Source organism: Homo sapiens, chromosome 1 (genome assembly GCF_000001405.40).
Source record: "Homo sapiens chromosome 1, GRCh38.p14 Primary Assembly".
NCBI lineage: Eukaryota > Metazoa > Chordata > Mammalia > Primates > Hominidae > Homo > Homo sapiens.
The window spans coordinates 50770987-50793909 of record NC_000001.11 but is presented as its reverse complement, the minus strand read 5'-3'; the positions used below and the strand labels follow the sequence as shown (position 1 = coordinate 50793909).

Below are 22923 nucleotides of genomic sequence, written 5' to 3'. Positions count from 1 at the left end.
AAAGTTTCAGATTTTGGAACATTTCAGATTTCAGACTTATGGATTAGGGAGACTTAACCTATACTTGCTGCTTATGCAATTCAGGACCAATCTATGTTGTCATCAGTGTAGTATCGTTCTTTGGAATGTCAAGTTAATCAAGATCTCTATAGACTATTATTATGACAAAGAGCGGGAGAGTTGATGTAATCTTTAGGAAGACAATGAAGGTATTAGTCTACCCTGCTGTGTGAAAGCAAAATGCACGTCCCAGTGCTTACAAATTAGTATAGAAAATAAAACACGTATGCAAGATCATTTGTTTCCAGTGGTCCCTTCTTACGTTACAGTCCTAACTCCATGGATCAGGAAAGCAATATGGAATATCTACCAGTTACCGAGTGTGTTTTTTTCTATTATACCTCCAGGGCCTAGGGAAATAACTGCAGGATAGACTGACTGACTGATCAAATTTACTGTGAGTTGATTTGGGCCAAAACTTCACTTCCAATTCTAATTTTTCACTTTTGTAAATTCCCCAGTAATTAGCATCATTTTAGAGTTAGCATCTAGTAATCTCCTAAAAATCTGGATATTTTCTTTTTATTGGCACACAGATACTCTAGTAAACAGCTGCAAGTGTCTTAATGGAAATCTTAGAGGAAAATTTACAATAAGTACCTGTGGCACTGTTGTGTTTTAGGGGACCATGCCTCATTTAATCCAGGGGCTTTATGTCTGTGAACCAACTTGTGTTTGGAAACCGGAAGTGACTGTGGTTCTCCACAGTGGTCACTGAAGTCAGGATTTAGGCTACCAAGTCTGGGGTTTCTACTGTTTATAGATCAAGTAGTATTTTAGTAGACTGACCTTTAATTTTGTTCCTTAAAAATACCATGCTCAGTTCGAGACTCCGCCATAAAAAAAAAGAAAACAAACAAAAACAAACAAAAAAACCCATGCTCAGTTAAGTACTTCTAAAGGTCTCTGCAGGTCTTGTACATCACAACCTTCTGATTGCCACTTTCTGTCCATGCTGTGCATTAACATGATTGTTCTTACCTTTTCTCTGTCAAATTTTGCCATTTGACCTCTGCCATTCTGGAATCTGATTAGCTTGTTCAGGAGTCTTTCTCAATCGTGTCATCTCCCCATGTCATTCCCAACTCACAGAAAACAGTCACCACAGAGTTTTTCAAATACAGATTCCCTTACTAATGTATTTTAAAATGCTTTAATGCAGTATCCTCCAGGACCTCATGGATGATGTATAGGATGGTATGTATATATTCAGGTTATACATGGTAAATCTACTTCAGCATTCCTGTTTCTTTAAGCATCTATATTTCTTCTGCATTATGCTAGGAAGGTTCAGGCATCTCATCCTCATGAAATGTGGACTCTTTTGAGAGTTTTCATTTAGCCAATAGTAAACTATTAAGAGTTTAAGCTAAGAGCTTTCACAGAAGTGGAGGCTAGCCTTCTCAGTCATGGGAGAAGGAGCTGTTCACCCAGGTATCCTCATTCCATATCTTAGGGCCTCACTCCTTCCAAAACAAAGGAAACTTAGAAAGTATGTTTATTCAACTTTCACCATAATTCTACAATCTGCAAAATTAAATTTTGGACCCAATTCTTGGCAGAGTTGTACCTATGGTTACAAGTAAGAAACTTTTAAAAAGGCTATTTTTAAAATTTTGTAGCTATCTTGTCATGACCTGAGCTGAAAGTTAAAAACTTACAAACTCTGTATCATTTTCTTTTTTAAGTCTCCGAGTCAGAAGCAGCCATCCTCGAGTCCTTGGTGTCATTATTACCATCAAAATAGTCAAGTCAGACAGTCATATGGTTGTCTTAGACACTTGTTTCAATAGGCATATCATCGTAATTAGCTATGGGTGATAATGCAAAAATCATTATGCCAATGCATGGAATGGATCACTAGTATCCCATTTATTATTGACAAGGAGCTAGCAGTGAATTGAAGGTCAAGGACACATAATCAAGCCAATTCTTGAATCTTGTCCTTGAAAGTATGTTTCCTGGGAACTCTTCACTGTATCAGGATCCAATCAGGAAAATGAAACATGCTAGATATTTCAGCAGAGGAAATTTAAGGTAGGATTGGTTACATAGGTATAGAAGACTGAAAGAGCAAAAAGTGGTAACATGGATATGATAAATGCCAGAGGAAGCTACCACTGTTAGGTTTAGGGAACAGAGGGGTTAACAGAATCATGAAGCGCAGAGGAGACTCATGAAGCTGGGGATCAGACCTCTGTGAATGTACACTGTCCAGCTGCTGCTCATGTCTAAGGGAATATCAAGAAGCTGGTTATAAGAATGCTGAAAAGAGCAGAAGACCTACAGGGTGATACTGATGGAAATGAATGCAAGCAGGAAAAAAGAAGTCTCTCCTCCCCTCTTTACTAATCTCTACTAATCTCCTCCCCTCTTTAACTACTAATCTCTAGATAGTGTCTCCTCTTGGTAGAATCTAACAGGAAACCATCTAGCAGAAGAAAATACAGTTTTGCAGAATACTGGCCCCAGCATCACAGAGTAGACTATATAGAAAGGTGGATTTGAAGTCAAAAAACAGTAAGTCAGTGACTAGCTTTTTCTTAGGTTTTTCTTCAGTTCTGAGAAGTTATGACAAGCTTTAGATGTGAAATGTCATCGCACAGATTCTGTTCATAGATATTTAAGAGCTCACTTTGGATTTCAGCTGTGGCATTCTTTCCTGCCTTTGGACATTTTCTTGGTTCCCATGTTTTTTTGTACAAGATTACTTTCTTTGAATTTAACAACTAGGAGAAAGGGTAGATTTTTGTCTTGGATCAGTGATTACTGGAGTATCTGAGCTCTGTTGATTGAAAAACTAACTGTTTTTGAACTTTTTGGAGTATGATTTACAATGAGAAATACTTGGAGTCCCAAACACACATATACATCTATGTAACAGAATAAAAAGTTTTATGGAACAATAGTTGGTCCTGTTAAGTGACACATACTGATAATTTCTATTCTAATCTTTAAAAGACTGATCACAACTCACCAAGTCGACTATGTAATCTATAGTTTGATGAACACTGTTCAAAGCAATAGTATGAAGGAAATTAAATATAAAATAAATATAAATATAAATATTTTTCTGCTTAATTGTATGAACAATTGAACATTGTTCTTAAATTCAGGTTGAGAGGAAAGATGTTTTAGAGCTGGTCTTGAGTTCTAGTGGTCGTGGAAGATACATACAATACTGATGTTACAACTGAAACACTCCTATGGTTCTCTCTCTCCCCACCACCTTCTCTCAGAGAGTTAAAAAAAAAAAGAAGTGGCAATACATAAGATAAATTAAGTCAGAGAAAAGTCAAATTTTAAAATAATTATTCCTCTACTCGTTAGTTTGGCAAATATTTGAGTGCCTCCTATGTATAAAATCTTAAGCTCAGGGCAGAGGATACAGCCATTAAAAACACAAATAAAGCCGGGTGCGGTGGCTCACGCCTGTAATCCCTGCACTTTGGGAGGCCGAGGCAGGCGGATCATGAGGTCAGGAGTTCGAGCCCAGCCTGGCCAATACAGTGAAAGCCCGTGTCTACTAAAAATACAAAAATTAGCCAGGCGTGGTGGCGCACACCTGTAGTCCCAGCTACTCAGGAGGCTGAGGTAGGAGAATCACTTGAACCCAGGAGGTGGAGGCTGCAGTGAGCCAAGATCATCCCACTGCACTCCAGCCCAGGCAACAGTGTCTCAAAAAAACAAACAAAAAACAAAACATACAAATAAGAGCTTTATTCTTGTGGTACTTATATTCCAGTGGAGACATAGATGTCAAATCATTAATCATACTACTAACTTTATAGTTAGTAGTGTGGAATTAGACCTAGTGCCCTGAGTTGAAAAACATTCAATCTGAGATATGAAAGGTTGAGTATAATTTGTTAGAAGAAAGATAGAAGTGGATGGGTAATGGAGGAAAGGATATTCTTAGAGGGAATAGCCTGTGTTCCTCTGTGAAACGGGAATGATTAAGGTGAGAGAAGAAATGAAAGACCATGCGCCTGTTAGCATAGAGGGCTGGAGATAGTGTAGCACAAGAAGATGGAAAGCTAGGTAGGATTCAGATCATACAGGGCCTCATACGCCACTTTAAGTATGTATCTGAAGAGTAAAGGAGAGTAGGGTTGAGAAAGAGAATGATATGAAGACATTTGTGTCTTTAATTTCACTCTAGGGGCATGATGGAATGGAATTCAGTGTTGCAGGAGTACATATAAAGGGATTAGTTAGGAGGCAATTGCATTAGTTCATACAGGAGGTAATTGTGGCTTGGACTAGAGTGGCAGCATCAGAGGGTAAAGGTGGATGACTTATACAAAACATACTTAGGAGATATAATTTAAAGGACTGATTAGGTATGTGGGATGAAAGAGAAGAAGGGATCAAGGATAACACCACAGGTTTCTGGATTGAGTTGATACTAGGAGTAATGGAGGAGGGTCAGACTTGAGGAAATACTAATGAACTAAGCTGTGGACATACTGAGTTGGGGGTCCGGGATCTTACTAAGTACCAGATGTTGTGCAAATATAATTATTGTTCCCATTTTACAAACGGGACAGCTATTAAGTGGGTAGAGCCAGGATTTCATTTTTACTTTTTAAGAAGGGAGAGATTTGAACATTTTTAAGTGTTACTCAAAAGAATCCAGAAGAGAAAGAGATGTCAAAGATACTGGATATAAAAGGGATAATACTTAGTGTAGAGCTAATGAGGAGATTATTTTAGCCTGGGTACAGTGGCTCATGCCTGTAATCCCAGCACTTTGGGAGTCAGAAGTGAGAGGATCACTTGAGGCCACGAGTTGAAGACTAGCCCGGGCAACATTAACAAGACTCCGTTTCTACAAAAAAATACAAAAATGAGCTGGGGCTTGGTGGCATGCATGTGTAGTCCCAGCTACTTGGGAGGCTGGGGTGGATTGATTGCTGGAGTCCAGGAGTTTGAGGCTGCAATGAGCCAAGATTGTGCCACTGCTGTCCAGCCTGGATAACAGAGAGAGACCCCATCTCAAACAAACAAACAAAAAGAATTGTTTTAGATTTTGAACAGATTAAAAAAATGATATCCCCTCTATTTTATAGGAAGTGAGAAAGAGAGAGTGCTTATGTGGGCTTGTTTGTGGATTTGATGTTAAGAAGATAAGGGAAATTTCTCTTGATGGCTTTTGTTTTCTTGGCAAAATGGAAAAAGATACCTTTTAACACTGAGATGTGAGATAGGGAGAATTGGGGAGAATTGAGGTTTAAGGACTGTAAAGTTTCAAAATAATCCGTGGAAAGCAGAGTTAATGAGTCAAATAATGATCCAGTGAGTAAATGAGAGTGAGTGAAGAAGACACTGTTCTTAATTTACCGAGTTAAAAATGATGTTTTACCAATATTATAACAACACAAGGTAAAAATCTGATTAAATGCTAAATGATATGATACTGCTAATAAACATAGAAAGGCAAGGATGGGAAGGAGAGTAATGTGGCCTTCAGTCAATGGGAAAGATTTTATGGAGGAAGTAGAACTCAAGTCTGGCCTTGACACACATGTAGGTAAACTTACTTGATAGGAAGAACAACACAAGCCAAGTATGGAGAGGGTCCCTAGTAGTATTCTGTAATGATTTAGTTGACAATAATCCTTCTTTTATGTCAACATTTTAGTGAATATGGAGGTGAGACCATACCAGGACCTGCATTTAATCCAGCAAGTCATCCAGCTTCAGCTCCTACTTCCTCTTCTTCTTCAGCGTTTCGACCTGTAATGCCATCCAGGCAGATTGTAGAAAGGCAACCTCGGATGCTGGACTTCAGGGTTGAATACAGAGACAGAAATGTTGATGTGGTACTTGAAGACACCTGTACTGTTGGTAAGGTTTTTCCTGCCATAAAGCCTTCACAAATAAATAATTAGGTAAACATTCAGGTTATATTTTTTTTATTTCTAGTTGACTACCAGTGCAAGAAGGGAAAAAAAGCAAGTTGAAACTGGTAACTTTCCAATACTGATTATTATGCTTTATTTTTAAATACTGTGTTGAGATTGAGGTAAGTTTGAGAATAATTTTTTTTGTTCCATGCAAGTAGAATGGTATACAATGCTGTTTTAGGGCTGATGCAAATCAAACATCTAAGAGCTTTAAAAAAATACCCTAATCAAGTACATTGCATATCACACTTTACAACTGAGACTTACTCATTTTTCATAGGATATATCTTGATCCTTTTTGTGCTGCTATAACAATACCTGAGACTGGGTAATTTATAAGGAACAGAAATTTATTTTCTCACATTTCTGGAGGCTAAGAAGTCTAAGATTAAGGCTTAGAAGGTTTGATGTCTGGTGAGGGCTGCTCACTGTTTACAATATGGCACGTTGATGCTGTATCCGCCTAAGTGGGGAACATTGTGTCCTCACATGACAGAAACCAGAAGGGCAAAAGGGACAGACTCCCTTCATCAAACTCTTTTTATAAGGGCATCTAATCCCATTAACAAAGCTCTCATTGCCTAATCACCTTTTAAAGGACCTGCGTCTTAATACTACCACATAGACAATACCTGAATTTGGGTGGGGATACATTCAAACCATCACACTATGTTTAATGAGAAATCAGACATGAGACATGTTTCCATCACTTTTCTCTCTGCCAGTTGAAAAAATGCTGTTTTTCAAAAGGAGGTGAAAGTATATGCCTGCCATTTCTGGACAGACTTTACCAAGTTACTATAGTTTAACTATGTTGAACTTACATTTGATTCAGATTATCTGATCCATTTTCATTGTAGAACCACATATTAATTTTCTCTTAATGTGGTTTACCTTAAATCTGAATTCTAGATGTTTCTGGAAATTTCCCTGTTTTCCTTTTAGGGGAGATCCTTGTAGAATTTTATTTCATTAATTGAGTCTTGGAAAGCAAAGCTGTTAAACTCTTAACAGTTCATTCCCAAACACTACTCAGATTATGTTATTCCTTTTCTTAAAGCCATTCAAAAGCTTTCCATTGATTTTAGGATATAATTCAAATCTTTAACATGGCCTATAAGTCCCTGTTTGATCAAGCCCCTACCTGCATTTCTAGTTTCATCTATCACCACTCTCCTAGTTCACTATGCCTATGCCATAATGGACTTATTTCAGTTTACCAAATAGGTCTGGGCCTTTATACTTGTTTCTTCTTCTATGTAGATTATTCTTCTAGATAAACCCCTTCACCCTGTACCCATTTGCATGCCCCCAAATATTCTCCTGTAGATTGTTTTTTATTTAAAAAAATTTTGGTAAAAAACACATAATATGAGATTTAGCCTGTCAATATATTTCTAAGTGTACAGCACAAGATTGTTTATGCACTTTTTCATCTTACATAACTGAAACTCTGTACCCATTGGATAGCAACTTTCCATTTTCCCCTCCCTCAAACTCCTGGCAACTGCCATTCTATCTTCTGTTTCTGTAAGTTTGACTATAAATACCTCATAGAAGTGGAATAATGCAGTATTTGCCCGCTGTGATGGCTTATTTCACTTAGCATAATGTCCTCAATGCTTATATATGTTGTAGCATATAGCAGGATTTTCTTCTTCTTAAAAACTGAATAATATTCCATTGTGTGTATATATCACATTTTTTTTAGTCATTAACATCATAAATGGACATTTAGGTTGTTTATACCTTTTGGCTGTTGTGAATAACGCTGCAATGAACATGAGAATGTGATTTTTTTTTTTTTTTGAGACAGGGTCTCACACTGTCACCCAGGCTGGAGTGCAGTGGCGTGATCGCGGCTCACTGTAGCCTCAAACTCTGGGCTCAAGCAGTCCCCCTGCCTTGGCCTCCTGAGTAGCAGGACTATAGGCGTGTGCCACCATGACTGGCTAATTTTTTTTTTTTCTTTGTAGAGAAGGAGTCTCACTTACTTTCTTTCCCAGGCTGGTCTTGAACTCTTGGGCTCAAGTGATCCTCCTGCCTCAGACTCCCAAAGTGTTGGGATTATAGGCATGAGTCACTGTGCCCAGCCATGGGAGTGTGGATATTTCATAGAAATCCTGTTTTCAATTCTGTTGGCAGTATGTTCAAAAGTGGGATTGCTGGATTAGATGGTAGTTTAATTTATAATTTTTTGAGGAACTTCCATACTGTTTCCTATAGCAGCTACACCATTTTACATTCCAACCCCAACTTTGTTAACACTTATTATTTTCTGTTTTTCTTTTCTCTTTTCTTTCCCTTTTCTTTTCTTTCCTTTTTTTTTTGTATAGTAGCCATCCTAAAAGATGTGAAGTGGTAGCTCATTGTGGGTTTGATTTATATTTGTCTGATTAGTGATGTTGAGTATCTTTTCATATACCTGTTGGCCATTTGTATGTCTTTTTTGGAGAAATGTCTATTCAAGTCCTTTGTCCATTTTTTTAAATGGGTTATTTGATATTTTATTGTTGAGTTATAGAAGTTTTTCTGTATTTTGTATTTTAACCCCTTATTAGATATATGGTTCACACATGTTTCCTCTCATTCTGTAGGTTGCCTTTTTACTCTGTTGTTTACTTTTCTGTGCAGAAGCTTTTTAATTTGATAAAGTCCCACTTGTCTATTTTTTCTTTCATTGCCTCTGCTTTTGGAGTCATTTCCAAAAAACCATTGCCAAGATCAGTGTTATAAAGCATTTCCTCTCTTCTGCTTTCTTCTACAAGTTTTATAGTTTCAAGTCTTTTTTTTTTTTTTTTTTTTTTTGAGATAGGGTCTTGCTCTGTCACCCAGGCTGGAGGACAGTAGCAAGGTCTTTGCTCGTATAGTTTCAAGTCTTATGTTTATGTCTTTAATTCACACAATACCATGAGATGATGTTTGTGTATGTTATGAGGTTATGAGGTTCCAAGTTCTTTTGCATGTGGATATCCAGTTTTCCCAGTACCATTTTTTGAAGAAACTATCCTTTCCACATTGTGGGGTCTTGGCACTCTAGTCAAAGATCATTTGACTGTATACGTGTGGGTTTATTTTTGGGATTTCAGTTTTGTTCTATTAGTTGGTGTGTCTGTCTTTATGCCACTAACAAACTGATCTAATTACTCTAGCTTTGTAATATGTTTTGGAGTTAGGAAGTAGGAGGCCTCCAGCTTTGTTCTTCTTTCTCACAATTGTGTTTGGAGTTCCTTGTGGTTACTTATGATATTTAGGATTATTTCCTTATTTCTGCAAAAAATACCATTGGGCTTTTGATAGAGATTGCATTGAATCTGCAGATCACTTTGGATAGTATGGACATTTTAACAATGTTAAATTTTTCAGTCCATGACCATGGGAAGCTTTTCCAGTGTCGTCTTTAATTTCTTTCAGCAATGTTTTGTAGTTTTTAGTGGACAAGTCTTTTGTCTCTGGATAAGTTTATTCATAAGCATTTTATTCTTTTTGAAGCTATTGTAAATGGGACTGTTTTCTTAATTTTCTTTTCAGATTGTTCAGTGTTAGTATATAGAAATGCAGCTGATTTTTATGTGTTGATTTTGCATCTTATAAAAGATTGATGAATTTTGTATTATTTATTAGTTCTAAGTTTTTTTTTTCTTTGGTAGAATCCTTAGTGTTTTCTACATATAATATCATGTTGTCTGTAAACAAAGATAGTTGTATTTCTTCCTTTCCAATTTGGATGTCTTTTGTTTTTCTTGCTTAATTGTTCTATCTAGGCTTTCCAGTACTACGTTGAATAGAAGTGGTGAGAAGGTATCCTAGCTTGTTCCTGATGTTAGAAGAAAACCTTTTAGTTCTTAACCCTTGAATATGATGTTAGCTGTGGGACTTTCATATATGGCATTTATTATGTAGAGGTTATTTCCTTTTATTTCTAGTTTGTTCAGTATTATGAAAATATGTTGACTTCTGTCAAAAGCTTTTTGTTTATTGAGATGATTGTGTGACATTTATCCTTCTTGCTTTTAATGTGGTGTATCACATTGATTGATTTTCATATGTTGTTGTTGTTGTTTTTGAGATGGAGTCTCACTCTGTCACCCAGGCTGGAGTGCAGTGGTGTGATCTTGGTTCACTGCAACCTCCGCCTCCTAGGTTCAAGTGATTCTCATGCCTCGGCCCCCTCAGTAGCTGTGATTACAGGCACACAGCCACCATGCCTGGCTAATTTTTGTATTTTTAGTAGAGATGGGGTTTCGTCATGTTGGCCAGGCTGTTCTCAAACTCCTGATCTCAAGTGATCCGCCCACCTCAGCCTCCCAGAGTGCTGGGATTACAGGCGTGAACCACCGCGCCTGGCCGATTTTTTTATGTTAAATAATCCTTTCATCCCAGGGATAAATCTCACTTTGCCATGGTGTGTAATCCTTTTAATGTGCTGTTGAATTTAGTTTCACTTTCAATGTGCTGTTGAATTTAGTTTCGCTAATATTTTGTTGAGGATCTTTGCATCTGTATTTATCAGGGATATTGGACTGTAGTTTTCTTTTCGTCTGATAGCTTCTTTGGCTTTGGTATTGATGTAATGCTGGCCTCGTGAAAGAAGTTAGGAAGTATTCCCTCCTTCAGTTTTTCGGAAGAGTGTGAGAAGGCTTGGCAGTAATTCTTTAAATGTTCGGTAACATGCCCTAATGTTACCATCTGCATGTTTCTTTGTTGGGAGATTTTTGATTACTGATTCACTCTCTATAACAGACTAGTTGTATGTCTGTTCAGATTTTCTGTTTCTTCACGATTCAGTCTTGGTAGGTTGTATGTTTCTAGGAATTTATCCATTTCTTCTATGTTATCTAATTTGTTGGCATATGATTTTTCATAGTAGTCTGTTATAATTATTTTTAATTTAATTTTTCTGTTTTTTTCTTACTCTAGATAAAGGTTGATGAACTTGGTTGATCTTTAAAAAAAACACTCAGTATTGTTGATTTTTTTCCTATTATTTCTGTATATTAAAATATGGTATAAAAAGTAACACCTTAATGGGATGCTTACTATGAATGGAGTGTGCAGTACTGGAAGTTGCTCTCAATGAGTGAGCAGTGAGTGAATGTGAAGACTTAGGACATTACTGTACATTGATGCAGACTTTATAAGCACTGTACTCCTAGGCTACCCTAAATTTATTAAAAAATATATTTCTTTAATAAGAATTAACCTTAGCTTACTGTAACTTTTCTACTTTATAAATTTTAAAACTTTTAAAACTTTTTGAGGATGGGCACAGTAGCTCATGCCAGTAATCCCAGCATTTTGGGAGGCCTAGGTGGGAGGATTGCTGGAGCTCAGGAATTTGAGACCAGCCTGGGTAACATAACGAGACCTTGTCTCTACTTTAAAAAATAAAAATAAAAAATTTTTTGACATTTTTATAACACCTTGCTGAGAACACACATTGTACAGTTGTACAAATGTTTTTTTCTTTATATCCTTTTTCTGTAAGCTTTTTTGTTTTGAAATTTTTTAATTATTATTTTTTAACTTTTAAAACTTTTCTGTTAAAAACTAAGACACGAACACACACATTACCTAGGCCTACCACAGGGTCAGGATCATCAATATCACTGTTTTCCACTTCCACATCTTGTCCTACTGGAAGGTTTTCAGAGGCAGTAACAGACATAGAGGTGTCATCTGCTATGGGTAATGATACCTTTAGAATACTTCCTGAAGGACTAGCCTGAGCCTGTTTTACCGTTAACTTAAAAAAAACAAAAAGAAAGTGTATACTTTAAAATAACAATAAAAAGTATAGTATAGTGAATACATAAACCAGTAACATATGTATTATCATTATCAAGTATTATGTACTATATACGATTCTATGTGCTATACTTTTATATTACTGGCAGTGCAGTAGGTTTGTTTATACCAGCATCACCAAAAATTTATGAATAATGTATTGTGCTACAATGTTACAGTGGCTAAGATGTCACTAGATGATAGGAGTTATTCAGCTCAGGACCACCTTGGTATAATATATGTGGTCATTGTTGATGGAAACATTGTTATGAGGAGCATGACTGTATCTGTGACTTTTCCAGTTTTCCTTCTGTTATTGTTTAGTTTTTGCTTCATTTTATTTTGGTTGCGAAGGACACTTAATATGATTTCAGTCATCTTAAGTTTAAGACTTTTTTATGGAGTAATATGTGCTATATCATAGAATATTCTCTGCACTTGAGAAGAGTGTGTATTCTGCTGTGATAGAATGGATGTTCAGTATATGTCTGTTAGATCTGTTTGGTTGATAGCATTGTTCAAGTCCTCAGTTTCCATATTGATCATCTGGTCTGGATATTTCTATTCATTATTGAAAATGGGGTGTTGAAATCTCCCACTATAAGTATGTTGGTGTCTGTTTTTCCCTTCAGTTTTGTCAGTGTTTGCTTCATATATTTGGGTACTTCAGTATTGGATGCATATATATTTATGGATATCTTCCTGGTGAATTGACCATTTTATCATTATATAATGTCTTTCTTTATCTCCTGTGACAGTTTTTTACTTAAACTCTATTTCGTTTGATATAAATATGACACCCCCTACTTTCTTTTTATTACCATTCCCATGGAGTATCTTTTTTTTTTTCTTTTTGAAGTGATTTTACTTTTATTTACTTCACTTTAAGCCAATCATGAAATTTCACAGTGATTTCTGGGGTGGAGGCAGAAAGAAGGTGGTGGTAAGAATCACTGAGGCTCTGGCCTAGTTGGCCAAAGAGGTGCAGGCAGGGTAGACCCTCACCGGGGCACCCGGAGGAGTATTGACTGCCCTGGCAGCAGGTAAATGATGTCCTGAGAGTGTGAGAGCTGGTACTCAATGTCCTCTGTGACTTCCATCTTGCACAGTTCAATCAGGCTGTCACCCACAGTGGCCAGTGAGTTGGCAATCAGCTAAGCTGCCTTGGAGTCACCCTTGGCAGAGATGATGACCTCCTGTTCCTGCTGCTCAGCCTTTTCCACCACAATTCTGGCCCTGTCTGCTTCCTGCTGAGCCATGTGTTTGGCTTCCACCACTTCTGTGACTCCTCCTGAAGGTAAGATGCATCAAGGACACGTTATCCAGGATAAACCCAAAGGTGGCTGCTCACTCCGTAAGTCCATCACTCACCTGTGTGGAGACCAGCTCCCTCGGGGTGATTTGTTCTCCAGCATCAGAGCAAGTCACCACTGACTTGAGGATTTCTGTGATGATAGGTGGCAGCACATGCTCATCATAGTCCTCTCTGATACTGATGAAGATGTGAGGAAGCTGGCTAGAGACAGGCTGGAAGAGGATGTGCAGTTACACTGACATTCTGTAAATTTTTGCTACCAGTGATGATTGGCATGTTGTGTGGTCAAGAGTGAAAGTCAAAGATCATTGGTTTCCGTACCCAGGGGATGAGAAAGTGAGTCCCTGTCTCTACCGGTGTTGTGTGCTCCATGGGATCGGTCAAAGATGATAGCTCTGTACCCAGCATCCACATTATATGAGGCAGAGTTCACCACACTTTCTGGTATGGCTAAGGCCAGGTCAAACTTGGTGATGGACTAAAACCCTTTGGCAGCTATATTTCCTTCTGCTGGACCCTCTCACACCTGCTTCCACTCTGACCTCCACATGAATTCCCCAGCTATACATTGGGGTATCTTTTTGTATCTTTTCATTTTCAGACTTTGCATGTCCATAAATCTAAAGTGAGTCTATTGTAATCAGCATATAATTGGGTCTTGTTTTTATATCCATTCACCTACTTTATGTCTTTTGGTTGGGAAGTTTAATCCATTTAAATTTAAAGCAATTACTGATAGGAAAGGACTTACTGTCAACATTTTCTTATATGTTTTCTGTCTTGTAGATCCCCCTACACTTCCTCTTTTACTTCCTCTGTGTGTGTGTGTGTGTGTGTGTGTGTGTGTCTGTCTGTCTGTGCATGTGTGCTTGTAGTGATATGCTTTGATTCCTTTTTTTTCTTTTTCTTTTTCTTTTTTTAAGAGACAGGCTCTCACTAAGCGGCCCAGGCTGGTCTTGAATTCCCTGGTTCAAGTGATCCTTCTGCCTTAGCCTCCTGAGTAGCTGGGATGACAGGTGTGCACCACTGCACCCAGCTCTTTTCTAATTTTTAAAAAATGTATTATCTATGGTTTCCATAAGACATCTTATAGTTATATGAATCTATTTTAAGCTGGTAACAATCTAACTTCAGTCACATACAAATACTCTTTTACTTCCCTCCACCCCCAAACGTTTTTTTGTTATTGGTGTCACAAATTATATTTTTTAAAATTTTGTATTCATTTACATATTTTATAGAGTATTTTATATATAATTTTCTATATTTATCTCATATCTAAATATATATTTAGATATCAATATATACAGGGAGATTGATAGTATCTTCCCGCCTGCTAACACAGTATCAGTTCTGCAGCCCATGGATCATGGAGTAATTTCAAATTTCAAGTCTTGTTATTCAAGAAATACATTTCATAAGGCTGTAGCTGCCATATGTAGTGATTCTTCTGATGGATTTTGGCAAAGTACATTGAAAACCATCTGGAAAGGACTCACCATTCTAAGATACCATGAAGAACACTCATGATTCATGGGAGGAGGTCAAGATATCAACATTAATAGGAGTTTGGAAGAAGCTGATTTCAACCTTCATGGATGACTTTGAGGAGTTCAGGACTTTAGTGGAGGAAGTAACTGCAGATCTGGTAGAAATAGCAAAAGAATTAGAAGAGGAGCCTGAAGACGTGACTGAATTGCTGCAGTCTCATAAAACTTGGATGGAAGAGCAAACAAAATGGTTTCTTGAGATGTAATCTATTGCTGATGAAGACGCTATGCATAAACATGGTTGAAATGACAAAAAAAGGATTTAGAATGTGACATAAACTTAATTGATAAAACAGTGGCAGGGTTTGAGAGAATTGACTCCAACTGTAAAAGAAATTCTAGTGTGGGTAAAATACTATCAAACAGCATCATATGTTACAGCAAAACTTTTCATGAAAGGAAGTTAATCGATGCAGCAAGCTCTATTTGTGTGTGTGTGTGTGTGTGTGTCTGTGTGTTTTGTTTTTTTAAGGGATGGTCTTGCTCTGTCACTCAGGCTGAAGTGCAGTGGCACACTCTTAGTTTACTGTGGCCTTGAACTCCTGGGCACAAGCAAATTTTCTACTGTCTCTGCCAGCCCTGAGATAGCAAGACCAACCCCTCCCCTTCCTCCTTCTCTTCAGTTTGTTCAACATGAAGACAGTGAGGAAGATGATCCACTTTCACTTAATGAATAGTAAATATATTTTGGATTTCTTAATAACATTTTCTTTTCTCTAGTTTATTGTGGGAAATGTATATATAATGCACATAATGTACCAAAGATTTGTTAATCAGTGGTTTATGTTATCAGTAAGGTTTCTGGTCAACAGTAGGCTATTAGTAAGTTTTTGGAGAGTCAAAAGCTATACCTAGATTTTTGACTGTGTGGAAGGATTGGTACCCTAACCTCCCCACCCCCATTATTCAAGAGTCAATTATATGTAAATATTAAATTTATACCCTTGGAACCACCACCACCCAGATCCAGATAGAGAATATTTATTGCACGTTAGAAGCCTCTCTCATTCCTCCTACTAGCAATTTAATCTCCCCTCTGAAACCACTGTTTTGACCTTTGTCACCTTGGATTGCATTTGTGTATTTTGACCTTCGTATAATTGAAATCATACATTGTATACTGTGTTTAACTTCTTTCACTCAATATTATGTCTTTGAGATTCAATAATTCATTCATTCTAATTGCTATGTAGAATTCTATTATATGAAAATACCATAAATTACCCATTCTACTGGTGATAGATATTTGGGTTCTTTCTAGCGTTACCAAGCTGCTGTGAACATTCTTGTACATGTTTTTGGCATACATAAACATTCTTCTTTTGACCTTCAAGTGGAGCTGCTGAATCATAGCGTGAAGATATATGTTTGTTTAGAGTTAGCAGGTGTAGCAAAACATTTTTATAAAATGGTCGAACCAATTTACTTCCACCAGTAGAACAGGGTTCCAGTTACTCCCTATCCTTGCCATCACTTAATCTGGTTAATCTTTTCAATTTTAGTCATATTCCTGATCCTTTCTGAATTTCCTTTTTTTTTTTTTTTCTTAAAATGAATTCAGGTTCCAAAGTTCATTTTGAATTTAGCCCTCATAACAGGCTGGAAATCTTTTTTCTAACTTGGTAGCCATCTGCATTCTTATTTCAGATTGATTGTCCAAACTTATCAAATTTTCTTAGCTGCATTGAGGATACCTCTGGTATAGTTTACCGTATCTGTGTTTTTTCATTTTTTTCCAGTTTAAGGTCCCCTTGAAAAAATATTTTTATAGTGTTGACTTAGGAAATATATAATAATGAAATGCAGTTACAAATTCACTATGGCATTTTTGAATTCATGTGACTTGAAATGATTTTTTTCTCTTAAGTGACAGAGTCTTGCTGTGTCACCCAGGTTGGAATGCAGTGATATGACCATAGCTCACTGTTGAGCTTGAACTCCTAGGCTCAAGTGATCCTCCCACCCACCTCAGCTTCCCGAGTGCTGGGACTACAGGCGCACGCCACCATGTTTGGCAAATTTTTTTTTTTTTCACTTTTTGAAGAAATGGGGTCTCATTTTGTTGCCCAGGCTGTTCTTGAACTCCTGGCCTCATGTGATTCTCCTGCCTTGGCCTCCTAAAGGACTGGGATTACAGGTGTGAGCCAACTTGACAGCCTATATTATTTATTTTATTTTTTATTATTATCATTTTTGTAGATGGGGTCTCACTATGTGCCCAGACTGGTCTTGAACTCTTGGGCTCAAGCAATCCCCCCACCTCAGTCTCCCAAAGTGCTAGGATTAGAGGTATGAGCTACTTACCCTGGCTGATTCTGTATATTTTTTTTTAAATCACCAAACTTCCTCTGTTGACGTTTTAAAAGTAATGTTATTTATCTTTACAATATCAGTTGGTCAGAATTGATGATGCTTCTTGTTTGTATGGATTTTTAGTAGTATTGCTAAGGCATCTCGGGTTTATTAGTTGGGAACCACTGAAAGGGATATGATTTAGCCTTTACTTTCTTAGTTTAATGACAAATATTTCTATTATCCAAGGGGGCAAATTCAGTGCCACATCACACTTTTTCTTTTAAATCTTAAAATTACCTCAGATTTTTTTTTTTGTTTTAAGAAAACTGGAATGCAATTATATATTAAATAAATTTTAACTGCCATCTTGTTGCATGTGTCTGTTTCATGTGAGTGAATAGTGTATCACTTCAGAAAAACCTTGTTCTTTTTTTTGATGGACTATTAAGTATTTTTTCAACTAAAAAAAATCCTCTGCTTATTTCGAGTGTGGTGATCAGAAATGGCTGGCTTCTCTGGATTATGTATGTTAATGTTACACTTTAAATATATTAGAGAGAAACCATATAACATGATTCTCTGCCTGCCATATGATTCATAATAAGGTAAAACTATAATCCAGAACAAATAAAACTGGAAGAGCTAGAAGCAGGAGTAGATACATATTGGTTTAAAATTCATTTTGAGTCCAGTTGTATTTATAATGTGTCTGTAGCTGTCTTAATTGTATTTGTTTTCAAACCGAATGACAGCTTGGCTGTTCCTACTCTATCATACTTGAGCATAAGTTAGCTTTTACAGTGGATGATAAAGCCAAAAGTTTACGAAAAGTGATCCCTGGAAGTTCTTTCATATACTTCTGTGATAAAGCTTTAAAATATTTCCAGTCATATTCTTCATAGTTATGGACATACTATAAACACAGTTTGACTCAAAATGAATTTTAAATCAGATATTGTTATTATATGATATCTACCTGCTCCTGCTTCTTCTAGCTGTTCCAGTTTTATTTGTTCTGGATTATAGTTATTGCCTTATGAGTATTATGGCAGGCAGAGAATCATGTTATATACTTTCTCTGTTTTCCCTGTTGGCATGTTTGTATGTGTAACTAGGGAAGGCATACTTAAGGATAATACTTAGACTTGATAGAATTTTTTTCTGACTTCACTGCACTTAGTCAATAAAGTTTTGTGAATTCTATCACATTATGACTGAATCTCTCCTTTTTTTTTCGTCCCCCTTTGTTACAGTTCAAGGATTTCTTTGATTAATTAAGATAATTCCCCTGATTTCCATATGTTCGTTTCTTTCTTCCTTTAGTCCATCTTTTCTATATAGTTGCCCTGTGGTGATTTTTCTAAAACACGCATCTCCTCATGTGCCTTTCAGTGGCTCTGTATTTCCTCTATTCTGTTTGATAAACCTTTTCTTGCTTTAGCTTTCCAGAAAACTCCTACACAGCTTCCAAGATCCCATGTAAATATTTCCTCTTCTATGAAGCCTTTCCTAACCTTTCTGGACATACAGTTAAGTTGAATCATCCGCTATGATCCCATAAAATTTTGTATATGCTTTAAACATGGATTTTAACACATCTTACCCTTTGTGTTTCAGATTTTCCTTATGAATGTTAACTCCTCACACTTAGAGAGCAGGTCTTATTCCTCTCTAGATTCTTTATTCTAGCACAGTGTTTGGCACAGAGTAGTGCTTGTTGAGGAAACAAATGGCTCAATAAATGAGTATATGAATATATGTGTATATATTAATTCATCCATCACAGGAAATTTTAAAAATGTACACTCATTAAAGTTTATGTGACCAGCAATAGAATTATTATAGATATAACTCATTTCAGTGTTACTGAAATTATATAAATAATATTTTTTCTGTAGCTGTATACATATAAATAATACAATGCAAAGAGATGCTCAATCAGATTATGCACCTTTTCCACGTTATTACCAGGAAGATGCAACAAGGTTTGAAAGCGAGCCCAAAGGCAGCTAAGAACTTTGTATCACAGTGACACCTAGTGGTAATTTCACTGGGTTGTTAATGTTTTTAGGGTCCTTATTGCAGTTTCATTTCAATACCCAAAACCTTCTGAATTCTGTTTTCTTATCTTGAATAAATTTAAAGAATTATTTTAAAGCATTTGTCCTCCTATAAAATGGTGTCTGATGTGAAGTATTGTGATCTCTTTGAGGGTAGGGATTATTGTATATTGTTAGATCTCTAAGATCTAGCAATGGATTTAACCTAACATGCAGCTATTTGTTTAATAAAGTTTGTTAAATCAGTGCTGTTAACAAACCTAATTTACTGGAGCCTAGTAGGCATAGCTTTAATTTTGTTTTTGAGATATAGCAGAAAAATAGGTCTGTTATTATTTGAACCATTTATCTTATTTTTTCTCTTTTTGATCTTTCTTAAAGCTACTTTTACTATATTGGATACTATTTTAGTTTTTAAGAACTCAGGTTGAATATGGAAAGATTTAAAACATTTAGCAGGTGCATTTTCAGTCTGAAAAAGTAGTTCAGGTTGTTTCAAACCAGGTTTTGTCCTGAATCTATAAATTCAGATTCTGATCTCGACTCTGTGACTCTTATTAGCTGTATAGTGTTTGGCAAATGCCTTATCCCTCCCCCACATGCCTCAGCCATGCTTTATGAGTAATAAATACTAGTTAAATGTTCTTCTGTTATTAGTACATGTGAAAAGAAGGAAAGAGTGACAATTTTGTGTGTCTTGAAAGATGCTATCAGCATGAAATGACAATGAAATTGATTATAGCTTGTATTTTGGGGGAAGAAAGACAGCAAATGTTGTGTGTTAGTAGTATTGTTTAGTCTACCTGCAAACTGATGTCTGTTGCCTCCGTGCCATCAATTGTGTACTCCCCAAATAATTTATTATTGGGTCATTTTAAAAGCTGAATAAAGTAGCATCTCAAACTGTGGTCTCAATGTGCATAGTTTATTTATGCGTTAGAAATATTCTTTAATTCAGCTTCAGATTTTTAAATTGATGTTTAATAAGTGTGTATGTTTATGAGGTACAATATGATGTTTCAATACATGTGTACATTTTAGAATGAGTAAATACGTATCCGTCATCTCATATACTTACCATTTCTTTGTGGTAAGACTTAAAATCCACCCTTTTAGCAATTTTGAGTGATACATTATTTCTTAACTGTATTCACCTTACTGTGCATTAGATCACCAGAATATTTTCCTTCTGTCTAACTGATCAAAGAGACCCTCTGATTGATATTTTCTCTTTATCCACGGAGCTCACTGTATGCCTTTGCCTCTGGTAACTACCATTATACCCTCTACTTCATATGTGGATTCAGATGTTTAGATTCCATATGTAAGTGAGAGCATGTGTGTGATATTTGTCTTTCTGTGCCTGTCTTATTTCACTTAGCAGAATGTTCTCTAGACTCATTCATGTTGTTGCAAATGACAGAATTTTGTTCTTTTTTAAGGCTGAATAGTATGCCATTGTGTATATACCACATTTTTGTATCTGTTCATCTATTGACGGGCACATAGATTGTTCCCATCTCTTGGCTATCGTGAATAATCCTGCAACGAACAGGGAAGTGCAGACATCTCTTCAACACATTTTAATTACTTTGGCTGCAGACTCAGAAGTGGGATGGCTGGATCTGATGTCACATTTTTAAATGTCATACTTAAAGTAAAAACAGAGTCTCACTCTGTCACCTAGGCTAGAATGCAGTGATGCAGTCATGCCCCACTGAAGCCTCAAACTCCTAGGCTCAAACAATTTTCCCCAGCTGAGCTTCCTGGAATCCTTTGTCCAGAACCTCAAAATACTCACATATTTATAATCCTTTTTTAATTGTAGGTGTTATGTTAAAGCATTTTAAATGTAAACTTATGTCTATAAGTAGCAAGATATACAGGAGTTACATCTTTCAATTAATGATACCAGAATAGTACATAGGGAAAGGCAGTGGGCATTGTCTTGTAGTCTTTGCCATTAAATCATTTCTTGTTCTTGAGTAGCCTTATCCCAAAGTGCTTTTGTTTTTTATTTTAAAAATTTTATTAATTAGATGTTAATGGGTGTCTAATGATATTTATTTTATTTAAAGTTATTTTAGGTTCAGGGGTACATGAGCAGGTTTGTTATATAGGTAAATTGTGTGTCACTGGGGTATGGTGTGCAGATTATTTCATCACCCAGGTAATAAGCATAGTACCTGATAGGTAGTTTTTTTGATCTTCACCCTCCTCCCACTCTCCACTCTCAAGTAGTCCCCAGTGTCTGTTGTTCTTTTCTTTGTGTCCATGTATGCTCAGTGTTTAGCTCCCACTTGTAAGTGAAAACATGCAATATTTGGTTTTCTGTTCCTGTGTTAGTTCGTTTAGAATAATGCCCTCCAGCTCCATCCATATTGCTGCAGAGGACATGATCTCATTCTTTTTTTATGGCTGTGGTGTATTCCATGGTGTAAATGTACGATATTTTCTTCATCCAGTCTACCATTGATGAGTATTTAGGTTAATTCCATGTCTTAGCTATTGTGAATACTGTTGCAATGAACATATGAGTACATGTGTCTTTTATGGTGTGATGATTGATGTTCCTTTGTGTATATACCCAATAATGGGATTGTGGGGTAGGACGGTAATTCTTTCTTAAGTTCTTTGAGAGATTGCCAAACTGCTTTCCACAAAGGCTGAACTAATTTACATTCCCACCAACAGTGTATAAGCATTCCCTTTTCTTAGCAACCTTGCCAGCATCTATTATTTATTTATTTATTTATTTTTCAGAATATTGTTTTTACTAAGGACTTTTATGGTATTATACATTAAAAGACACTGATTAACTTGAGAAAAAAATGTTTCTTGCAGTTGAGCAACATCTACAATTTTTCACTATTATACTTACCTACACGTAATCTTTTTCTGTATTTCCCTACAACTTATCCATAATCTCTGCTTTTTCCCAAGGGCTCTACTTCTGTCAATTTTTTTTGCATTTAGAAGAGAAATTTCAAAATTAAACATAGTTGGCATTTTGTTTGTTTGTTTGTTTTTTGGAGACGGAGTTTCACTCTTATCACCCAGGCTAGCGTGCAATGGCACGATCTTGGCTCACTGCAACCTCCGCCTCCCAGGTTCAAGCAATTCCCCTGCCTCAGCCTCTTGAGTAGCTGGGATTACAGGCGCCCACCACCACGCCCAGCTGATTTTTGTATTTTTACTAGAGAAGGGGTTTCACCATGTTGGCCAGGCTGGTCTTGAACTCCTGACCTCAGGTGATCTGCCCACCTCGGCCTCCCAAAGTGCTGGGATTACAGGTGTGAGCCAGTGTGCTGGGCCCATTATTTTTTGTTTTTAATAATAGCCATTCTGACTGGTATAACATGGTATCTCATTGTGGTTTTGACTTGCATTTCTCTGATAATTAGTGATACTAAGCATTTTGTGTATGCTTTTTTGGCCAAATATATGGCTTCTTTCAAAAAGTATCTGATCGTGTCCTTTGCCTACTTTTTAATGGGGTTGTTTGTTTTTTGCTCATTAATTTAAGTTTCTTATAGATTCTGGATATTAGACCTTTATTGGATGCAAATATCTCCTCCCATTCTGTAGGTTGCAAATATTTTCTCCCATTCTGTAGGTTGTGTGATTACTCTGTTGATAGTTTCTTTTGCTGTGCAGAAGCTCTTTAGTTTAATTGGGTCTCATTTGTCAATTTTTGTTTTTATTGGAATTGCTTTTGATGTCTTTGTTATGAAATCTTTGCCAGGGCCTATGTCCAGAATGGTATCTTCTAGGTTGTCTTCTAGGGTTTTTGTAGTTTTAGGTTTTACATTTGAGTCTTTAATCCATCTTAAGTTGATTTTTGTATATGCTGTAAGGAAGGGGTCCAGTTTCAGTCTTCTGCATATGACTAACCAGCTACCCCAACACCATTTATTGAATAGGGAGCCTTTCCCCATTTGTTTTTG

At 36.6% G+C, this 22923-nt stretch overlaps 1 protein-coding gene and 1 pseudogene across 5 annotated transcripts in view; one reads left to right on the top strand and one right to left on the bottom strand.

Annotated features, from left to right (window-relative positions):
* FAF1 (Fas associated factor 1) overlaps positions 1 to 22923 on the top strand; it is a 523240-nt gene that overhangs the window by 166358 nt on the left and 333959 nt on the right. For 4 of the 5 annotated variants that reach the window (NM_007051.3, XM_047442745.1, XM_047442743.1 and 1 more), the window contains one exon: positions 5705 to 5910. In NM_007051.3, coding sequence (NP_008982.1) covers positions 5705 to 5910 — 206 coding nt within the window. Of the gene's footprint in view, positions 1 to 5704; positions 5911 to 12865; positions 13054 to 22923 lie in introns of those variants that run through there. The other variant, XM_024452736.2, reaches the window with a different exon arrangement.
* PHB1P12 (PHB1 pseudogene 12) lies at positions 12611 to 13640 on the bottom strand (annotated as a pseudogene).